The 13,757-nt window shown below is 46.2% G+C and overlaps 1 protein-coding gene and 1 long non-coding RNA gene across 11 annotated transcripts in view, besides 5 other annotated features; one reads left to right on the top strand and one right to left on the bottom strand.

The window, feature by feature from the left end:
* The window catches only part of PRKCH (protein kinase C eta), a 363,509-nt gene that overhangs the window by 220,433 nt on the left and 129,319 nt on the right, over window positions 1–13,757 (bottom strand). For 3 of the 5 annotated variants that reach the window (NM_006255.5, XM_011536957.2, XM_047431586.1), the window contains exon 1: window positions 8,080–8,965. The exons of 1 other annotated variant lie outside the window; for it this stretch is intronic. In NM_006255.5, the coding sequence (NP_006246.2) occupies window positions 8,080–8,442 (363 nt within the window). In that variant the 5' untranslated portion in view covers window positions 8,443–8,965. Of the gene's footprint in view, window positions 1–7,782; window positions 8,966–13,757 lie in introns of those variants that run through there. One more of the 5 variants, XM_047431585.1, reaches the window with a different exon arrangement.
* Window positions 7,533–8,076: an enhancer, noted in NCBI's record as "H3K4me1 hESC enhancer chr14:61789186-61789729 (GRCh37/hg19 assembly coordinates)". NCBI's record gives its function as "activates a minimal SCP1, AML or CMV promoter by ChIP-STARR-seq in naive H9 embryonic stem cells {active_cell/tissue: H9 hESC(naive)}" and the evidence as "EXISTENCE:reporter gene assay evidence [ECO:0000049][PMID:30033119]".
* The window catches only part of PRKCH-AS1 (PRKCH antisense RNA 1), a 28,119-nt gene continuing 22,087 nt past the window's right edge, over window positions 7,726–13,757 (top strand). For all 6 annotated transcript variants that reach the window (NR_186039.1, NR_186040.1, NR_186037.1 and 3 more), the window contains exon 1: window positions 7,726–8,009. This is a non-coding gene — a long non-coding RNA (PRKCH antisense RNA 1). The remainder of the gene's footprint in view (window positions 8,010–13,757) is intronic.
* Window positions 8,077–8,621: an enhancer, noted in NCBI's record as "H3K4me1 hESC enhancer chr14:61788641-61789185 (GRCh37/hg19 assembly coordinates)". NCBI's record gives its function as "activates a minimal SCP1, AML or CMV promoter by ChIP-STARR-seq in naive H9 embryonic stem cells {active_cell/tissue: H9 hESC(naive)}" and the evidence as "EXISTENCE:reporter gene assay evidence [ECO:0000049][PMID:30033119]".
* Window positions 8,583–8,752: a silencer, noted in NCBI's record as "silent region_5818". NCBI's record gives its function as "represses an Ori minimal core promoter by ATAC-STARR-seq in GM12878 lymphoblastoid cells {active_cell/tissue: GM12878}" and the evidence as "EXISTENCE:reporter gene assay evidence [ECO:0000049][PMID:35858748]".
* Window positions 8,903–9,172: a silencer, noted in NCBI's record as "silent region_5817". NCBI's record gives its function as "represses an Ori minimal core promoter by ATAC-STARR-seq in GM12878 lymphoblastoid cells {active_cell/tissue: GM12878}" and the evidence as "EXISTENCE:reporter gene assay evidence [ECO:0000049][PMID:35858748]".
* Window positions 11,799–12,093: a silencer, noted in NCBI's record as "tiled region #13098; HepG2 Repressive non-DNase unmatched - State 24:Quies". NCBI's record gives its function as "represses a minimal TATA promoter and a strong SV40 promoter by Sharpr-MPRA in HepG2 cells {active_cell/tissue: HepG2}" and the evidence as "EXISTENCE:reporter gene assay evidence [ECO:0000049][PMID:27701403]".

Below are 13,757 nucleotides of genomic sequence, written 5' to 3'. Positions count from 1 at the left end.
ATTATTTTATGATCTATACAAAACTTAAGGTATTTGATGGTTCAAATATAGTGTTCCTACTTTCTGCCTTTGTGGAGTCAAAAGTTCTTTTGCAGGTCATCTGTTCACAAGCATGGAAACAGTTCCCTCCCAAACTTTCCAAAGATGGAAACATTTCTGTGGGTCAGGAACATTTACCTTTCAAAAGGGCATCTGCGATGTCCCTCTGGGAAACATTATCAGGTCAGAAGTTCCTTTTCTTCTTTTGAGCAAAGACTGTTCACAGTCATTTAACTGAAGCAGGCTGTGGCTCTCTAGGCTGGGTCCTTAAAAGTCAGCTCTTTGTTTTTCCTCCAGGAAGATGTTCCCCACCTCCCCAAACCAGGGGCTTACCTGCCTGTAAGTACTTCTGTAATTCCCTAGTTGCTTTTGTTTGCTTTTTATCCCAATCTCCCTCCCCCTTGGAATTACAAGCCCTACGAAAGAATGGGTCATGTGTGTCCTGTCCACTTGACTTTACAGGATAGAGCACAATGCCTGGTACTTAGTACATGCTCATTGGTGGCTGGATGCTCACCTAGGGCTTGGCATTTCAAATAGAAACATGTAATAGTCTGTCAGAGTCACTACTACAAGAGCCAAGCGGATGAATCTTAGTCAATCATTCAAACAACTACACCCTGAACTCCCTGTGACCAGTGTCACACGCTTCCATTAGAGGCCAATCCATTCATACGTCCGTTCTTTCAGGTTGGAGGAGACAGCGGCAAAAGAGATCTCAGGATACTGAGGGAACACTAGGAGGAGGACCAAACCCAGACTGGCACATCAGGGACAGTTGTCTGGGTAATTAATGCCCATAATGAGACCTGAAGCACAAGGAAGAATTAGCAAAGCGAAGTGTTCCTCCTTTTGAGGAACTGAAAGATGCTCATTGTAATTTGGGGAAATGTAAGAGAAAAGGCTCAAGAGGAACACAGGGTACAGATCATGGAGAACATCCTATACCATTTTAAAGACTCTGGACTTTGGCTGGGTGCAGTGACTCATGCCTGCATCCCAGCACTTTGGGAGGCTAAGGCGGGCGGATCACCTGAAGTCAGGAGTTTGAGACCAGCCTGGCCAACATGGCAAAACCCTGTCTCTACCAAAAATATAAAAATTAGCCAGGCGTGGTGGTGTGTGCCTGTAATCCCAGCTACTGAGAGGCTGAGGCAGGAGAATCGCTTGAACCTGGGAGGCGGAGGTTGAAGTGAGCCGAGATCGTGCCACTGTACTCCAGCCTGGGCAACAGAGAGAGATTCTGTCTCAAAAAAAAAAAAAAAAAAAAGACTCAGGAGTTTATCTAAGAGCAGTGGAGAACCACAGAGGAGGAGTTTTAAATAAAGAAATGACTATTGGTTTGGCAATTGAGAAAGACTATTTTGGATACAGTAATGATAAGAGTGGAAAACAATGGACAGGGATTGTTTCCACTTAGGTCTCATTTTTATCACATTCTAATAAAGTGGAGCTAAGAAGTCAACACAAAAGGGGAACACAATCTAGTTGACTGTTTTTTCAGCTTTTTTTTTTTTTTGAGACAGGGTTTTGCTCTGTCATTTAAGCTAGAGTACAGTGACATGATCATGGCTCACTGCAGCCTCAACCTCCCAGGCTCAAGTGATCCTCCCACCTCAGCTTCCCAAGTAGCTGGGACTAGAGGCATGTGCTACCATGCCTGGCTAATTTTATTTTTTTGTGGAGATGGGGTCTCACTATTTTACTTAGGCTGGTCTCAAACTCCTGGGCCCAAGGGATCCTATTGCCTTGGCCTCCCAAAGTGCTGGGATTACAGACGCAAGCCATAGCACGCGGCCCCAGTTGCTTTATTAAATAAAAAAGGACTACCAAAAATCCCAGGCACCTCTATTATTCTACGCAAATGCTACTCTTCTCATAAAAATGCACCACACTTTTACCATCACCACTAATCACCATTCTTAACACTTACTAGATACCAAAACTTCACTAAGAGTTGCATAAGATAAAATGATTCACGTTCCACCCACCAACCTCATTCCTCTCCAAGGCTGAGGCACAACCTTTTAAATGCTGATGTCTTGCTTCTGCCCTGACTTTAACATTTTGGGCGTGAAAATTATAAGTGAAAAACGTTATAACGTATTACAAGTTTTAAAATCATAGTCTTTTAAAATGACGTAAGAGCAGGGAATTTTCCATACACAAGGTTTTCAATCCATTACCATATTCAAAGAATATAGCAGTCAGGCCCAGTCTTTCTTTTTTTTTTTTTTTTTTTTTTTTTGAGACGGAGTCTCGCTCTGTTGCCCAGGCCGGACTGCGGACCGCAGTGGCGCAATCTCGGCTCACTGCAAGCTCCGCTTCCCGGGTTCACGCCATTCTCCTGCCTCAGCCTCCCGAGTAGCTGGGACTACAGGCGCCCGCCACCGCGCCCGGCTAATTTTTTGTATTTTTAGTAGAGACGGGGTTTCACCTTGTTAGCCAGGATGGTCTCGATCTCCTGACCTCATGATCCACCCGCCTCGGCCTCCCAAAGTGCTGGGATTACAGGCGTGAGCCACCGCGCCCGGCCCAGGCCCAGTCTTTCAAGCACATATTGGTATGTCATTGATTGATTTAACAGAGGAATACTGTTCATCCAGTAACTCCTCAACTATTTTCATTTCTTTCTTTTAGAAAGATGGAAAGATGCTCCCAAAGTACTTACACTTTACTTGTCCCCCAATCACATAAAATTTCATTTAACAAATATTTAATGTTTACTACATATGAGACATTGTCCCAGGGTTAGGACAGTGAATAAGAGAGGTGGGTCCCTGCTCTCAAGCCATTTGTAATCTAAAGGAGGAAAGTATAATAAGCAAATTCATTAACAAAATGATCTCAGAGAGCAATGAGTGCAACGAAAGACAACAAGATAATAATATGACCAGGAAAATGCTCTCCAAAGGGGAAAATATCTGAGCCACAACCTGTTTGTGATGAGAAGCAGCCGGTCCCACTGTAGCAAAATTCTTCTTACAATGAAAATGAAGACGCTACATAGCCAATACAATTCACATACACTGAAATAAAACTCCCTCAAGATTCTAAAATATATTTTTCCTCTTAAACACTGTGGGTTGATCAGTCAGTGTTAGACATTCCTTCCAATTGGCTCAGAAAAAAATCAATCATGAGAATAAACAACGGCACTACAAAGTACAAAAGAGAATGAACCACTAGATAGAAAATCTGGAAGAATTTTGGTGGTATAAATTCAGACACCTGGATCCAGGAAGGAAGGGAAAAGATAATCCATGATTGTCCAGTAGTAACATGGCTGCTTCACCTGACAGGACTGATTACAAAACAGGTACCTCACTGAGAAATTGAGAGAAAGAGGCCCTCCAGGGCTGCAGAGAACACAATGTCTTCGGGAGGGCTGAACCAGGAAAACAGCCTGGGATCCTGCCAAGCCAGTCCTTCCTTCCTGAGGGGGCGCCAAGGTCTTTCCATGACGCAGCCTCCAGCTCCTCCTGCCTCCCCATGTCCCCAGCACTCTGCATTAAGCATTAGATGCTGGTCCCCATTTAGAAGGTCAGCAAATCAAGAGCAAGTACACGAAAGAAGAAAATAGAGTTTAAACAGAGGCAATTCTTCAGATTTTGGAAGCCAGAGAAATTATGCAAAATAAACATGTTCTAGAAGCAGCAGAAAAAAAACTGACAGTGATAATTTAGAAAATGAGACCATGTCCAAAAATCAGAAACTAATTTGTTTTATTGTGATTTCATTTTTTCTACGCTCCCATTCTCATAAATATTTTCTGCACTAAAGAGGAAATGTAGTTTTCAAGAGTCAGACTTGGCTCAGCTGAAATTCTGTCATTTACTAGCATCTTACTTAACACCTTCAGTAAAATATGGATAAGCGCTGATTGGTTTTTTTCCCCACAGCTTTATTCAGGTATAATTGTCATATAGTAACATGCACATACTTAAAGTGAACTATTTAATAAGCTTTGACATATGTATATAACTGTGAAATCATTGCCACAATCAGAATAACACAAATATTCATCTCCCCTAAAAGTTTCTGCCTCCTTTGTAATCCACCTCCCTTACCTCCACTCTCCATTTTTAGGCACCCACTGATCTGCTTCCTGTCACTATAGACTCCTTTTCATTTCTAGAATTTTGCATAAATGAAACCGTACTTTTTTGTCTAGTTTCTTTCACTCAGCATAATTATTCTGAGATTCATTCCTGTTGTTACATGTGTAATAGTTCATCTTTTTTATTGCTGAGTAATATTCCATTGTATGGATAAACCACAATTGTTTAAACATTCATCTGTTGACATTTGAGTTGTTTCCACTTTGGGGGTTATTACAAATAAAGATGCTATGAACACTCGTGGACAAGCTTTTGTATGAATGATTTCATTTCTTTTAGTAAATACTAAACAGTAAGTTATATAGTAGGCATATGTTTGATAGTTTAAGAAACTGCCAAACTATTTTCCAACATGATTTACCATTTTACATTCCTCACCATAGCATATGAGAGTTCCAGGTGCTCCACTTCCTCACCAACACTTGGTATGGTCAGTCTTATTAATTTTAACCTTTCTAGTGGGAACATACTGAGATCTCATTTTGGTTTTAATTTGCATTTCCTTAATGACTCATGATTTTGAGCATCTTTTAATGTGCTATTTGGCATGAAGGTGAGTGCCTATTGAAATATTTGACAAGTTACAAGTCATTTGTTGGATTTTAAATTAGGTATTTTTCTCATTATTATTGTGCTGTTAGAGTTCTTTTATATATTCATGTTACACATCTTTCATTTACGTATTGCAGTTATTTTCCCCCATTTGTGGCTTGGGTTTTTATTTTCTTAAACATTCTCTGGGAAGCAATAGTTTTTCATTTTGATAAAGTCCAACTTACTGATTTTTTTATAGTTGGTGCCTTTTGTACGCTATCTAAAAATTTTTTGCTGAACCCAAGGTCACTACAATTTTGTTTTCTTATAGAAGTTTCACAGTTAAACTCTTACATTTAGGTCTATAATCCATTTTGAATTAATGTCTTTGTAGGATGTGAGGTAAGTGTCAAGGCTCATATTACTGTATGTGGCTATCCAGTTGTTCAAGCACCATTAGTTGAAAAGACTATCATTTCCCCCACTGAGTTGCCTTCTTGGCAGCTTTATCAGAAATCAGTGGGTCATATATGTGTGGATCTATTCCTAGACTCTCTTCTATTCATTCCACTGATCTGTATGACTCTCTTTATTCCAATATCACATTATCTTGATTACGGTCATGTTACAGTTAGCCTTGAAATCAGATACTCTAAGTCCCCCAACTTGTTCTTTTTCAAAACTATTCTTAGACTGGTCTCAGTACTTTACATTTCCATATAAATTTTAAAGTCAGTCTGTCAATTTCTACAACAAACTTAGATTTTGACTGAGATTATACTGAACCTATTGAATACTTTGGGAAGAATTGAGATCTTAACCATATTGAATCCTCTCATCCATAACCTACAGCTAAGAGCTTCTCTGGATCTAGCAAAAACTAAGTCACTAGGTTTTGGGGGTTTTTTGAACCTGCAACTTCAATAGTTTTTTTTTAAGTCAGTAATCTGTAGTTCCACTTGCAACCATAAATTTATTATGGAGTAAATTCAATTATTCCACATTTAACTCTCTGAATAAACTACATGTCAATTTAAAATACTAAAGATAAATAAGTATTTCTTTAATCCTGAACTTCAAAAGCACCTTTGGGCCAGATGCAGTGGCTCACACCTGTAATCCCAGCACTTTGGGAGGTTGAAGTGGGAGGATGGCTTGAGGCCACAAGTTCAAGACCAGCCTGGTCAACAAGGTAGCAAGACCCCATCTCTATTTTTTTAAAGCATTTTTGAACCTATAAAGGATACTTTTTTAAAAAAGCATGCATTCCATATATTTCCAAATTTTTTTAACAAGATTTTCTTTAAAAAGAAAAGAAACAACACTCTGCCCAACCTATGTTCCATATCCTTACAGTTCTGAAATACCCAAAACCTTTTTAAAAAAAACAACAAAAAAAAAATCTGCCTTCTGATGCATGCAAACGCATGAAAAACTGCTGGTTTCAAGGTCATTTAAATGCTGACCCTCCCTACCAACCACTCAACGTTTTCCAAAACACCACCAGTGGGTTATATTAAACATCTAAGTGTAATTATTTCAGACCATTATAAATATCGATATCTGATTTACACTGAATATTCATCCAGTGGAACAATAAGCAGCTCTGTACATGCCACCTAGTCAGATAACGTGGATCTTCCTACACTTATGACACCAAGAAGTCCTCATCTTTTGGTCTTCATGTAGGCTGCAGGTTCTCCACCTCGACTGCATACTGGAATCACCTGGTGAGCCTAAAAGTACGGATGATGGGGTCCCACAGCCAGAGATTCCTATCTAGAATCTTTAAAAGTGGGGATTTTTTAAAGGTCCCTGGGTGATTCAAGTGGGAAGATTATGGTTGAGAAGGACGAGTCTAGGCTATCTCCAGGAAGAGATGCTTCTCATGGCCACTGGCCAATCTGCACCACCATAATTCAGAACCTAGTTCCTCTAGAGCTTTGCCCGACCTAACTCCTAATCAGACACTAATAGAACTCAACAATTCCATCTGGATGCCTACACTCACTTCTATTTCATTTCCAGAAATTCACAGGATAAATGTAAATATCTAACTGTATTTTAGCAATTCCTCTCTAGTCCCCACTTCTAAGTACCACAAAGTAAATTAGGCTGAAGGGAAATTAACTCAATATAATTTGACGATTAAGGTTAGTCATTATGGTTTTTGTACTTCTATTTAAAAGAAAGGAATAGCTCCACAAGCCATCTTTAATTTTAGAAAATATACGGTAAAATTACTAATTCCACAAAGTATAAAATAAATACCTAAATGAGCCTTCATCACCATCCATCTGATTTCACCACTTGTAAATTTCAAACATTTTCAATACTGATATTGGGTTCAAAACTGACTCCCTCCAGAACTTAAACTATTAAACTCCTGAGAGTCTTCAAATGGCGTACTCCACTTTGCCAAACCAGACTACTTTATTATAATTATCATTCCATCATCTCAAAGTGGGAACGATGACACCTGCATCACAAAGACAGTGTGAGGATTAGGCAGTAAAAGCATGTTAGCACCGTGTAGAGCGCTCTAGAAGTTTTAATTGATTTACAGCAGAAATTATGCCTCCTGGGAACTATGTGAAAAGCAGAGGCAAGGGGAGAGCTGCGGGTAGCTACACGTCAATACCCAGGAACACAGGCTGGTGATGGGGGGAGGGAAGACAGTTAACAACCTCCTGAGGAGTCCTTACAGCCTCTTCTCAGACCCATAGCAGCAGAAACCCACACTGCAGGACTCCCACCTCGGACTGACTAAGTTACTTGCAAGTATATGTAAATCTCATCTCCTTGGAAAAATGCTAAATAATAAAACTGCCAACGTGCAGACCCAGGCGCTCATTTCCCTGCCAGTGTAGCTCATGTACCTCTGGGATGTGCAAGCCGAAACACGTGTGCACGTCTGAGCGGCTGAACCAACATGTATCCATAAACATTATGAATAATACTCGCGAGAATGTACGGCTTTCTCCTAAGTAGCGCTTGAAGCACTTTACCCAAATCAAGTCCCTTTTGTATCACTCCTTCCCTGCCTTTCCTACCTATCACTCTCGTGCTGAAAGTTGGAGCTCCTTACCCAAAGACTGGGCGGAAAGGGTGACCGCCCTGGACCCCTGCCCGACTTCCCGTTAGGCCAAGCCGCTGTCCTGAAAGGGGATCGTGTCCAGGCCGGCTTCCTGGAGACACACCTGCGCCTGCACACACCCACCGCGGTCGCGTCACCAGTGCCGCGGCCACGTGGACGAAGACCAAAGTCTGGAGGGAATTCCCTCAGCCACAAAGCGATGGGAAAGCGGGACCCGGGTGAGTTTTGAAAAACATAAGGGGAACGGGGGTTGGGTGGACACAAAGGGAAGGGGTCACCGCTACTCACCCAACCCTCGAAGGTGTCCGAGGCGCCGGTCGTGCGCAGCAGCTCCTGGAACTGCAGGGTGCAGTTGGCCACGAAGTGGTCGTAGCCCAGGGGCGTCTCGTGGAAGACGGCCAACTCGAGGTGGCCGCCGTCGGTGACGTTAGCGCAAAACTCCTCGTTGTACGTGGGTTTGTTGGTCTTCTGCTTGGTGCTGGTCTGGCCCACGCGCACCTGGTCCACGCTCACCGTCAGATAGGGGTCCAGCAGCTGGTGGCCCTTCTTGAAGAGCGAGTGGCGCAGGGACCAGCGGGTGGGCTGCAGCCCCACTGCCTCACCGATGCGGACCCTCAAATAGCCATTGAACTTCATGGTGCCAGACGACATGCCGGCGCCGCTGCCCCGGCCCCGGGGGGCCGCGCTGCTTCGCAGCGGGAGAACCGGGAGTCCCGTCTCAGGCCAGCCCTCGGGACAGGTGCAGGAGTCGAGGCAGCCCTGGGGAAAGGCAGCGCCTAAGCGCCCCTCGACTGGCCATTCTGCCTCCTCCGTGGGACTTTTCCCTCCCCTCCTTCCCTCCCTCCCGAGGTGGAAAGGAGGGGAGCCCGCCGCCGAGCCCTCAGCGGGCCGGGGAAGCCCGACCGTCCCTTCCAAGCGCGCGGCGCCTCCCGGGGACTCGCGCAGGACTCGCCCCTTCTCCAGGGCCGGGCAGCTCCTCTCCCTGGAGAGCCGGACCTACCCGTCCGGTGAGCCCCAGCCCCAAGCGTCTCTTCCCCCGCCTCCTCTTGCTTCTCCTCCTGCCCCCGCCTCCGAAGGCTCACGCTCTCCCCCACTCGGCGAGCTTCAAACCAGGAAGCAGCTGCCGCCGCCGCATCCCCGGCGAGAACCTCGCACCGCCAGGTTCCAAGTTCACAGAACCCCCGCGTCCGCTCCCGCGCCTTCCGGACCCCAGGGGCGTGGCCCGCGGTCCGCGGCCCGGCCCTGCGGTGGGTGGATCCCCGCGCAAGCCCCCGGGAGGCCAGTGCCCGCTTGCGCCGCCCTGCGCGCCCTCCTTGTAGCGCTGGGTCTGGCCGTGCGCTGCGGGTTAGGGGCCACCCCGGGCGCAGGCCAAAAAGGAAAGGGTTCGTGGCCCAGCCCGAGCAAACACCTGAGGCGTGGTAGACTGACCTGGGGAGCGATGGAAGGTTGGGAGGACGCAGAGGAGGGCGCTCCAGCCAGGAACCCGCGCGGCGAGGAGTCGCCCGCCCCCTCTCTCCCAACCTCCCCGGTGGGCTGGTGACCCTGCAGGGCCATCCCCAAGAGGCCCTGGCCGGAGGCGGGGGCACGGCGGGGAGGTTCTTTTTCCTAATATTTACAGGGATGGCTCATCCCGGGGTCAGCTCGAACGCATCCTGTTTGTGCGCCTTTCCTGCAGAGGCTAATTACACAGTTGTGTGTATGTGTGTGTTTTAATAGGGCAGTAGTAATGATGGAAATCCTGTTCGCCTCCTTCCTCGGAAGGTGTGTCTTGTTGCACATAGAGCAGGAAAGGTCGGTTCTTCTGGAGACAGACATGGCCAAGAGGTAATAAGTCTCTTCCTCTGCGGGTGGTTTCTGGTCCACCCAGCTCTGCGCGGCAAGGGCAGAAAATGTTCACACACACAGGCTGTCCCCAACACACACGCGGAAGAAATTGCCTCTTCTAGGAACACTCCAGCTTGTTGTATTTGCAGTCAGAGTGGGCAGCCTTCTGATGCTTCCCACCCCGTGGTCCCTGCAGATTTTGTCTCCGGGGAGGACCTTTTAGCCTACGCTGCTATGCCGCAAAGCTTGCTCCCTGAGGGCCAGCCACAACCAATTTGTTCCCCAAAAAGCCTAGGCCACTTTTTGTTGTTGTTGTTGTTGTTGTTTTTGAGACGGAGTTTCGCTTTTGTTGCCCAGGCTGGAGTGCAATGGCGCCATCTCGGCTCACCGCAACCTCCGCCTCCCAGGTTCGAGCGATTCACCTGCCCCAGCCTCCCGAGTAGCTGGAATTACAGGCATGCGCCACCACGCCCGGCTAATTTTGTATTTTTAGTAGAGACAGGGTTTCTCCATGTTGGTCAGGCTGGTCTCAAACTCCCGACCTCAAGTGATTCGCCTGCCTCGGCCTCCCAAAGTGCTGAGATTACAGGCGTGAGCCACAGCACCCAGCCAAGCCTAGGCCACTCTTAAGATACTTGATTACATTCTGTCTTGCTATACTGGTTCCCTCGGAGCAGATTCGGCTTGCTTTCATTCCTTTCTTTCTTCCTTCCCTCCTTTCTTTCTTTTATGTTTTAGAGACTGGGTTTTGCTTTGTCATCCAGGCTGGAATACAGCGGTGTGATCATGGCTTACCATAACCTCCAGCTCCCAGGTTCAAGTGATCTTCCAGCCCCTGCCTCCTAAAGTGTTAAGATTACAGGCATGAGCCCCCGTGCCTGGCCCCAGGTTCATCTTTCTAGCCCCCACTCCTCTAAGGCCCTGTTCAGAACTTTCTAATTGAGTAGGTTCTCAACGATTTCACATGAGTGCAAGGAGGCCTGACCCGTAATAACAGCACTATACAGAATGAAAACAAGTAAGGACAATGGGCCAGGGGGGAAAGGGCCTGTCTTGAAAACACCAAAGCTTCCTTAGAGAACAAGGCAGGGATGCAACGCATCACTCTAATGACATCTTAGCTTTAGGCAGGGCTTGTAAAGCCTGCTCCCAAACGTCCAGGGGGCTCCTGTTTGGCCTTAGTGCTCCAGGGGAAGATGTCGCATCTACCCTGTGGGTCAGCTCTGTCACCCTTTCCTCCAAACAGCTGAACTCTAGCTTTAAGAGCCACTAAAGGATTTGCTCCTGTTGGACTTTGGGGCTAAAAGAAAACAGTCCCCATACAGAATCATGGGGTGTAGACTTTAAATTTTTTTTTAAATTTTAAAAAGAAAACAGTCCCCAAATGGTAGGTGGCCACACAGCTGTCCTGGGACTGGGATATGACGATACCAGACACTCCATCTTCACCCTATCAGTACCTATCAGGATTGGCAATGGTGACAGAGCAGTGGGTCAGACAGCCATGGTGCCTGCCCTCCTGGGGCTTACAGTCCCACAAGGAGGAAAAACAACTAATAGAAGAGGGTGCAGTGAAGGAAAAGCCCACGGTGCCAAGGGGTGATGTATTATAACTGGATGGGTGGTCAGGGAAGGGTTCCTTGAAAAAGCAAATAGCAGAGAGATCAGCTCATTGAGAGCTCCTGAGGAGACAGATGGGTTGGCCTGTTTGGGAACCAAAAGCACCCTACGTGGCTGGAGCTGAGGAAGGCGTGGCTGGAGCTGAGGAAGGTGAGGGGAGAGTGGCTGAAATGAGCTTGCAAAGGTGGTCACACTGACCAGACTGGTAGATCACAGGAAAGCCTTGGACATTATCTATGGGCCACTGGACGCCTCTGAAGGCTGTTAAGCAGAGCCAGGGTAAGATGAGGATTTGTGTTTTAAAATACCTCTCTGGGGACAGGCAAGGTGGCTCACACCTATAAACCCAACACTTTGGGAGGCTGAGGCAGGAGTACTGCTTGAGCCCAGGAGTTCAAGACCAGCCTTGGCAACATGGCAAGACTGTCTCTACAAAAAATAAAAACTAAAAAAATTAGCTGGATGTGGTGGCATGTGCCTGTAGTCCCATTTTATTTTTTTAGTAAAATAAAATATCTCTCTCGGGGGTGGATTGGAAGAAGCAGCACGAGTGTGGGGAGACCAGTTTATGAAGCTGTTGCCAAAGTCCAGAGGTGAGAAGATGGTGGCCAGGACTCAGGTGGTAGTGATGGAGATGAAGATAAATAGATGAATTCAAGAAGTGTTTCAGAAGTAGAACTGACAAGTCTTGATGACAGATTGAAGGGAATGAGGAAGAGGACGGTATCAAGGATGACTTGCAGAATCTGGCTTGAGCCAACTGTGTGGACTAGGGAGCTATTAGGGAGTTAAGAAACGGCATGAGACAAGGTGTGGTGGCTCATGCCTGTAATCCCAGCACTTTGGGAGGACAAGGTGGGGGGATGGCTTAAGCCCAGGAGTTTGAGACCACCCTGCGCGACATAGGGAGACTCTCATCTCTACAAAAAAAAAAAAAAAAAAACTTTTTAAAACTAGCCAGGGCACGTGCCTGTGTTCACAGGGGAAGCCAAGGTAGGAGGATCACTTGAGCCTAGAGAGCAGCCTGGGCAACAAAGTGAGGACTCGTTTCTACAAAAAAATATAAAAATTAGCCAGGCGTGGTGGCAGGTTCCTGTAGTCTCAGCTACTCGGATGCTGAGGCAGGAGGATCACTTGAGCCTGGGAGGTTGAGACTGTAGTGACCTATGATCATGCTACTGCACTCCAGCCTGGGTGACAGAGTGAGATCCTGTCTCAAAAAAAGAAAGAAACATGGCAAGAGGAGATTGGGGCAGGGATAAAGAGTTGGGGGTGGGAGGGGAGGATGAAGAGCTCAATTCAAAACTTATCAAGTTTGATATATCTTGATACATTTAAGCAGAAATCTGAAGTGGGGAATTGGCTATGTGGTTGTGACACTCGGAGGGGCAGTCTCTTAGCTAAAGACAAATTTGGGAGCCATTGGTATACAGATAGTAATTGAAGCTAGAATAGTGGATCAGACTCTTTATGGGAAGATAGGAAGAGAATGCAACTTGAGAGAAGGACCCAGGACAGAGCCCTCCAGCAACTCCAACATTTATAGGTGGAGGAGAAGCAGGCAAGTGGGATGACAAGCAGTAGCCAGGGAGGTAAGAGAAAAGCAGTAGCCAGGAAGATGTGGTGTCCAGGTATTATGGAAACCAACCAAAAAGTTTTCAAGCAGGGAGGAATTGTCTGCTAGGTCAAATGATGTCAAGAGATGTAGTAGGCAAGGACTAAAGAACGCCACATGGGCTTGGCACCATGGCTCACGCCTGTAGTCCCAGCACTTTGGGAGGCTGAGGCAAGAGGATCACTTGAGCCCAGGAGTTCAAGACCAGCCTGGGCAACAAAGTGAGACCCTGTCTCTACAAAATATAAAAATAAATTTAAAAAGAATGGCATGTGGAGTTGGCATGGACAGGTCCTTAGTAATCTTTCAACAGTTTCAGTAGGGAGTTGTGAGTGGAAGCCTGTTAGGGTAGGTTGAGGTGAAAAGTGTGTGAGAGAGTGAATGTAGGCACCCTTTCAAGAAGTTTGGCTGGGATGGGAAGGAGAGTGAGAGCTGAGGAAGAAGATGGAATCACTAGAAGAAGGGCTTGTTTAGAATGGGTAAGCAACACCGAGGAGAGAGATCATAGCGTTCTGAGACTGCAGGAGGGAATGACACCCAAGACATGGCAAAAGCATGGGCCTTAGTTAAAAAGAAACACCTATGTTGTGGCTCTCAGCCTGCCGCCCAAAATTGCCTGATTGAAGTCACACGTTTGACGTGAAGTATTTAAACCCCAAAAGGCTACAGGCAAAATACAGGCTACCGTGGTAATTGTCAAGCTACCCTCTCACCATCTGGCTCAAGCACTTTTTGTCTCCTTCCTTCCCCCTCTCATCACCTGTTGGTTTTGCTCCCCTCTCCCTGTTCCTCATTTTCTCTTCCTGCAACTGGCTCCCTAAATACAGCCAGGGAAGATGGTCATCAACAGCCCCAACTTCCTACATTCCCAGCTTAACAGCCCCAGCAGAATGAGGATCTTTGCTAT

The sequence above is a fragment of the Homo sapiens genome, chromosome 14 (genome assembly GCF_000001405.40).
Source record: "Homo sapiens chromosome 14, GRCh38.p14 Primary Assembly".
Lineage (NCBI taxonomy): Eukaryota > Metazoa > Chordata > Mammalia > Primates > Hominidae > Homo > Homo sapiens.
The sequence above is the reverse complement of the archived record's forward strand: the minus strand, read 5'-3'. Positions and strand labels throughout refer to the sequence as shown.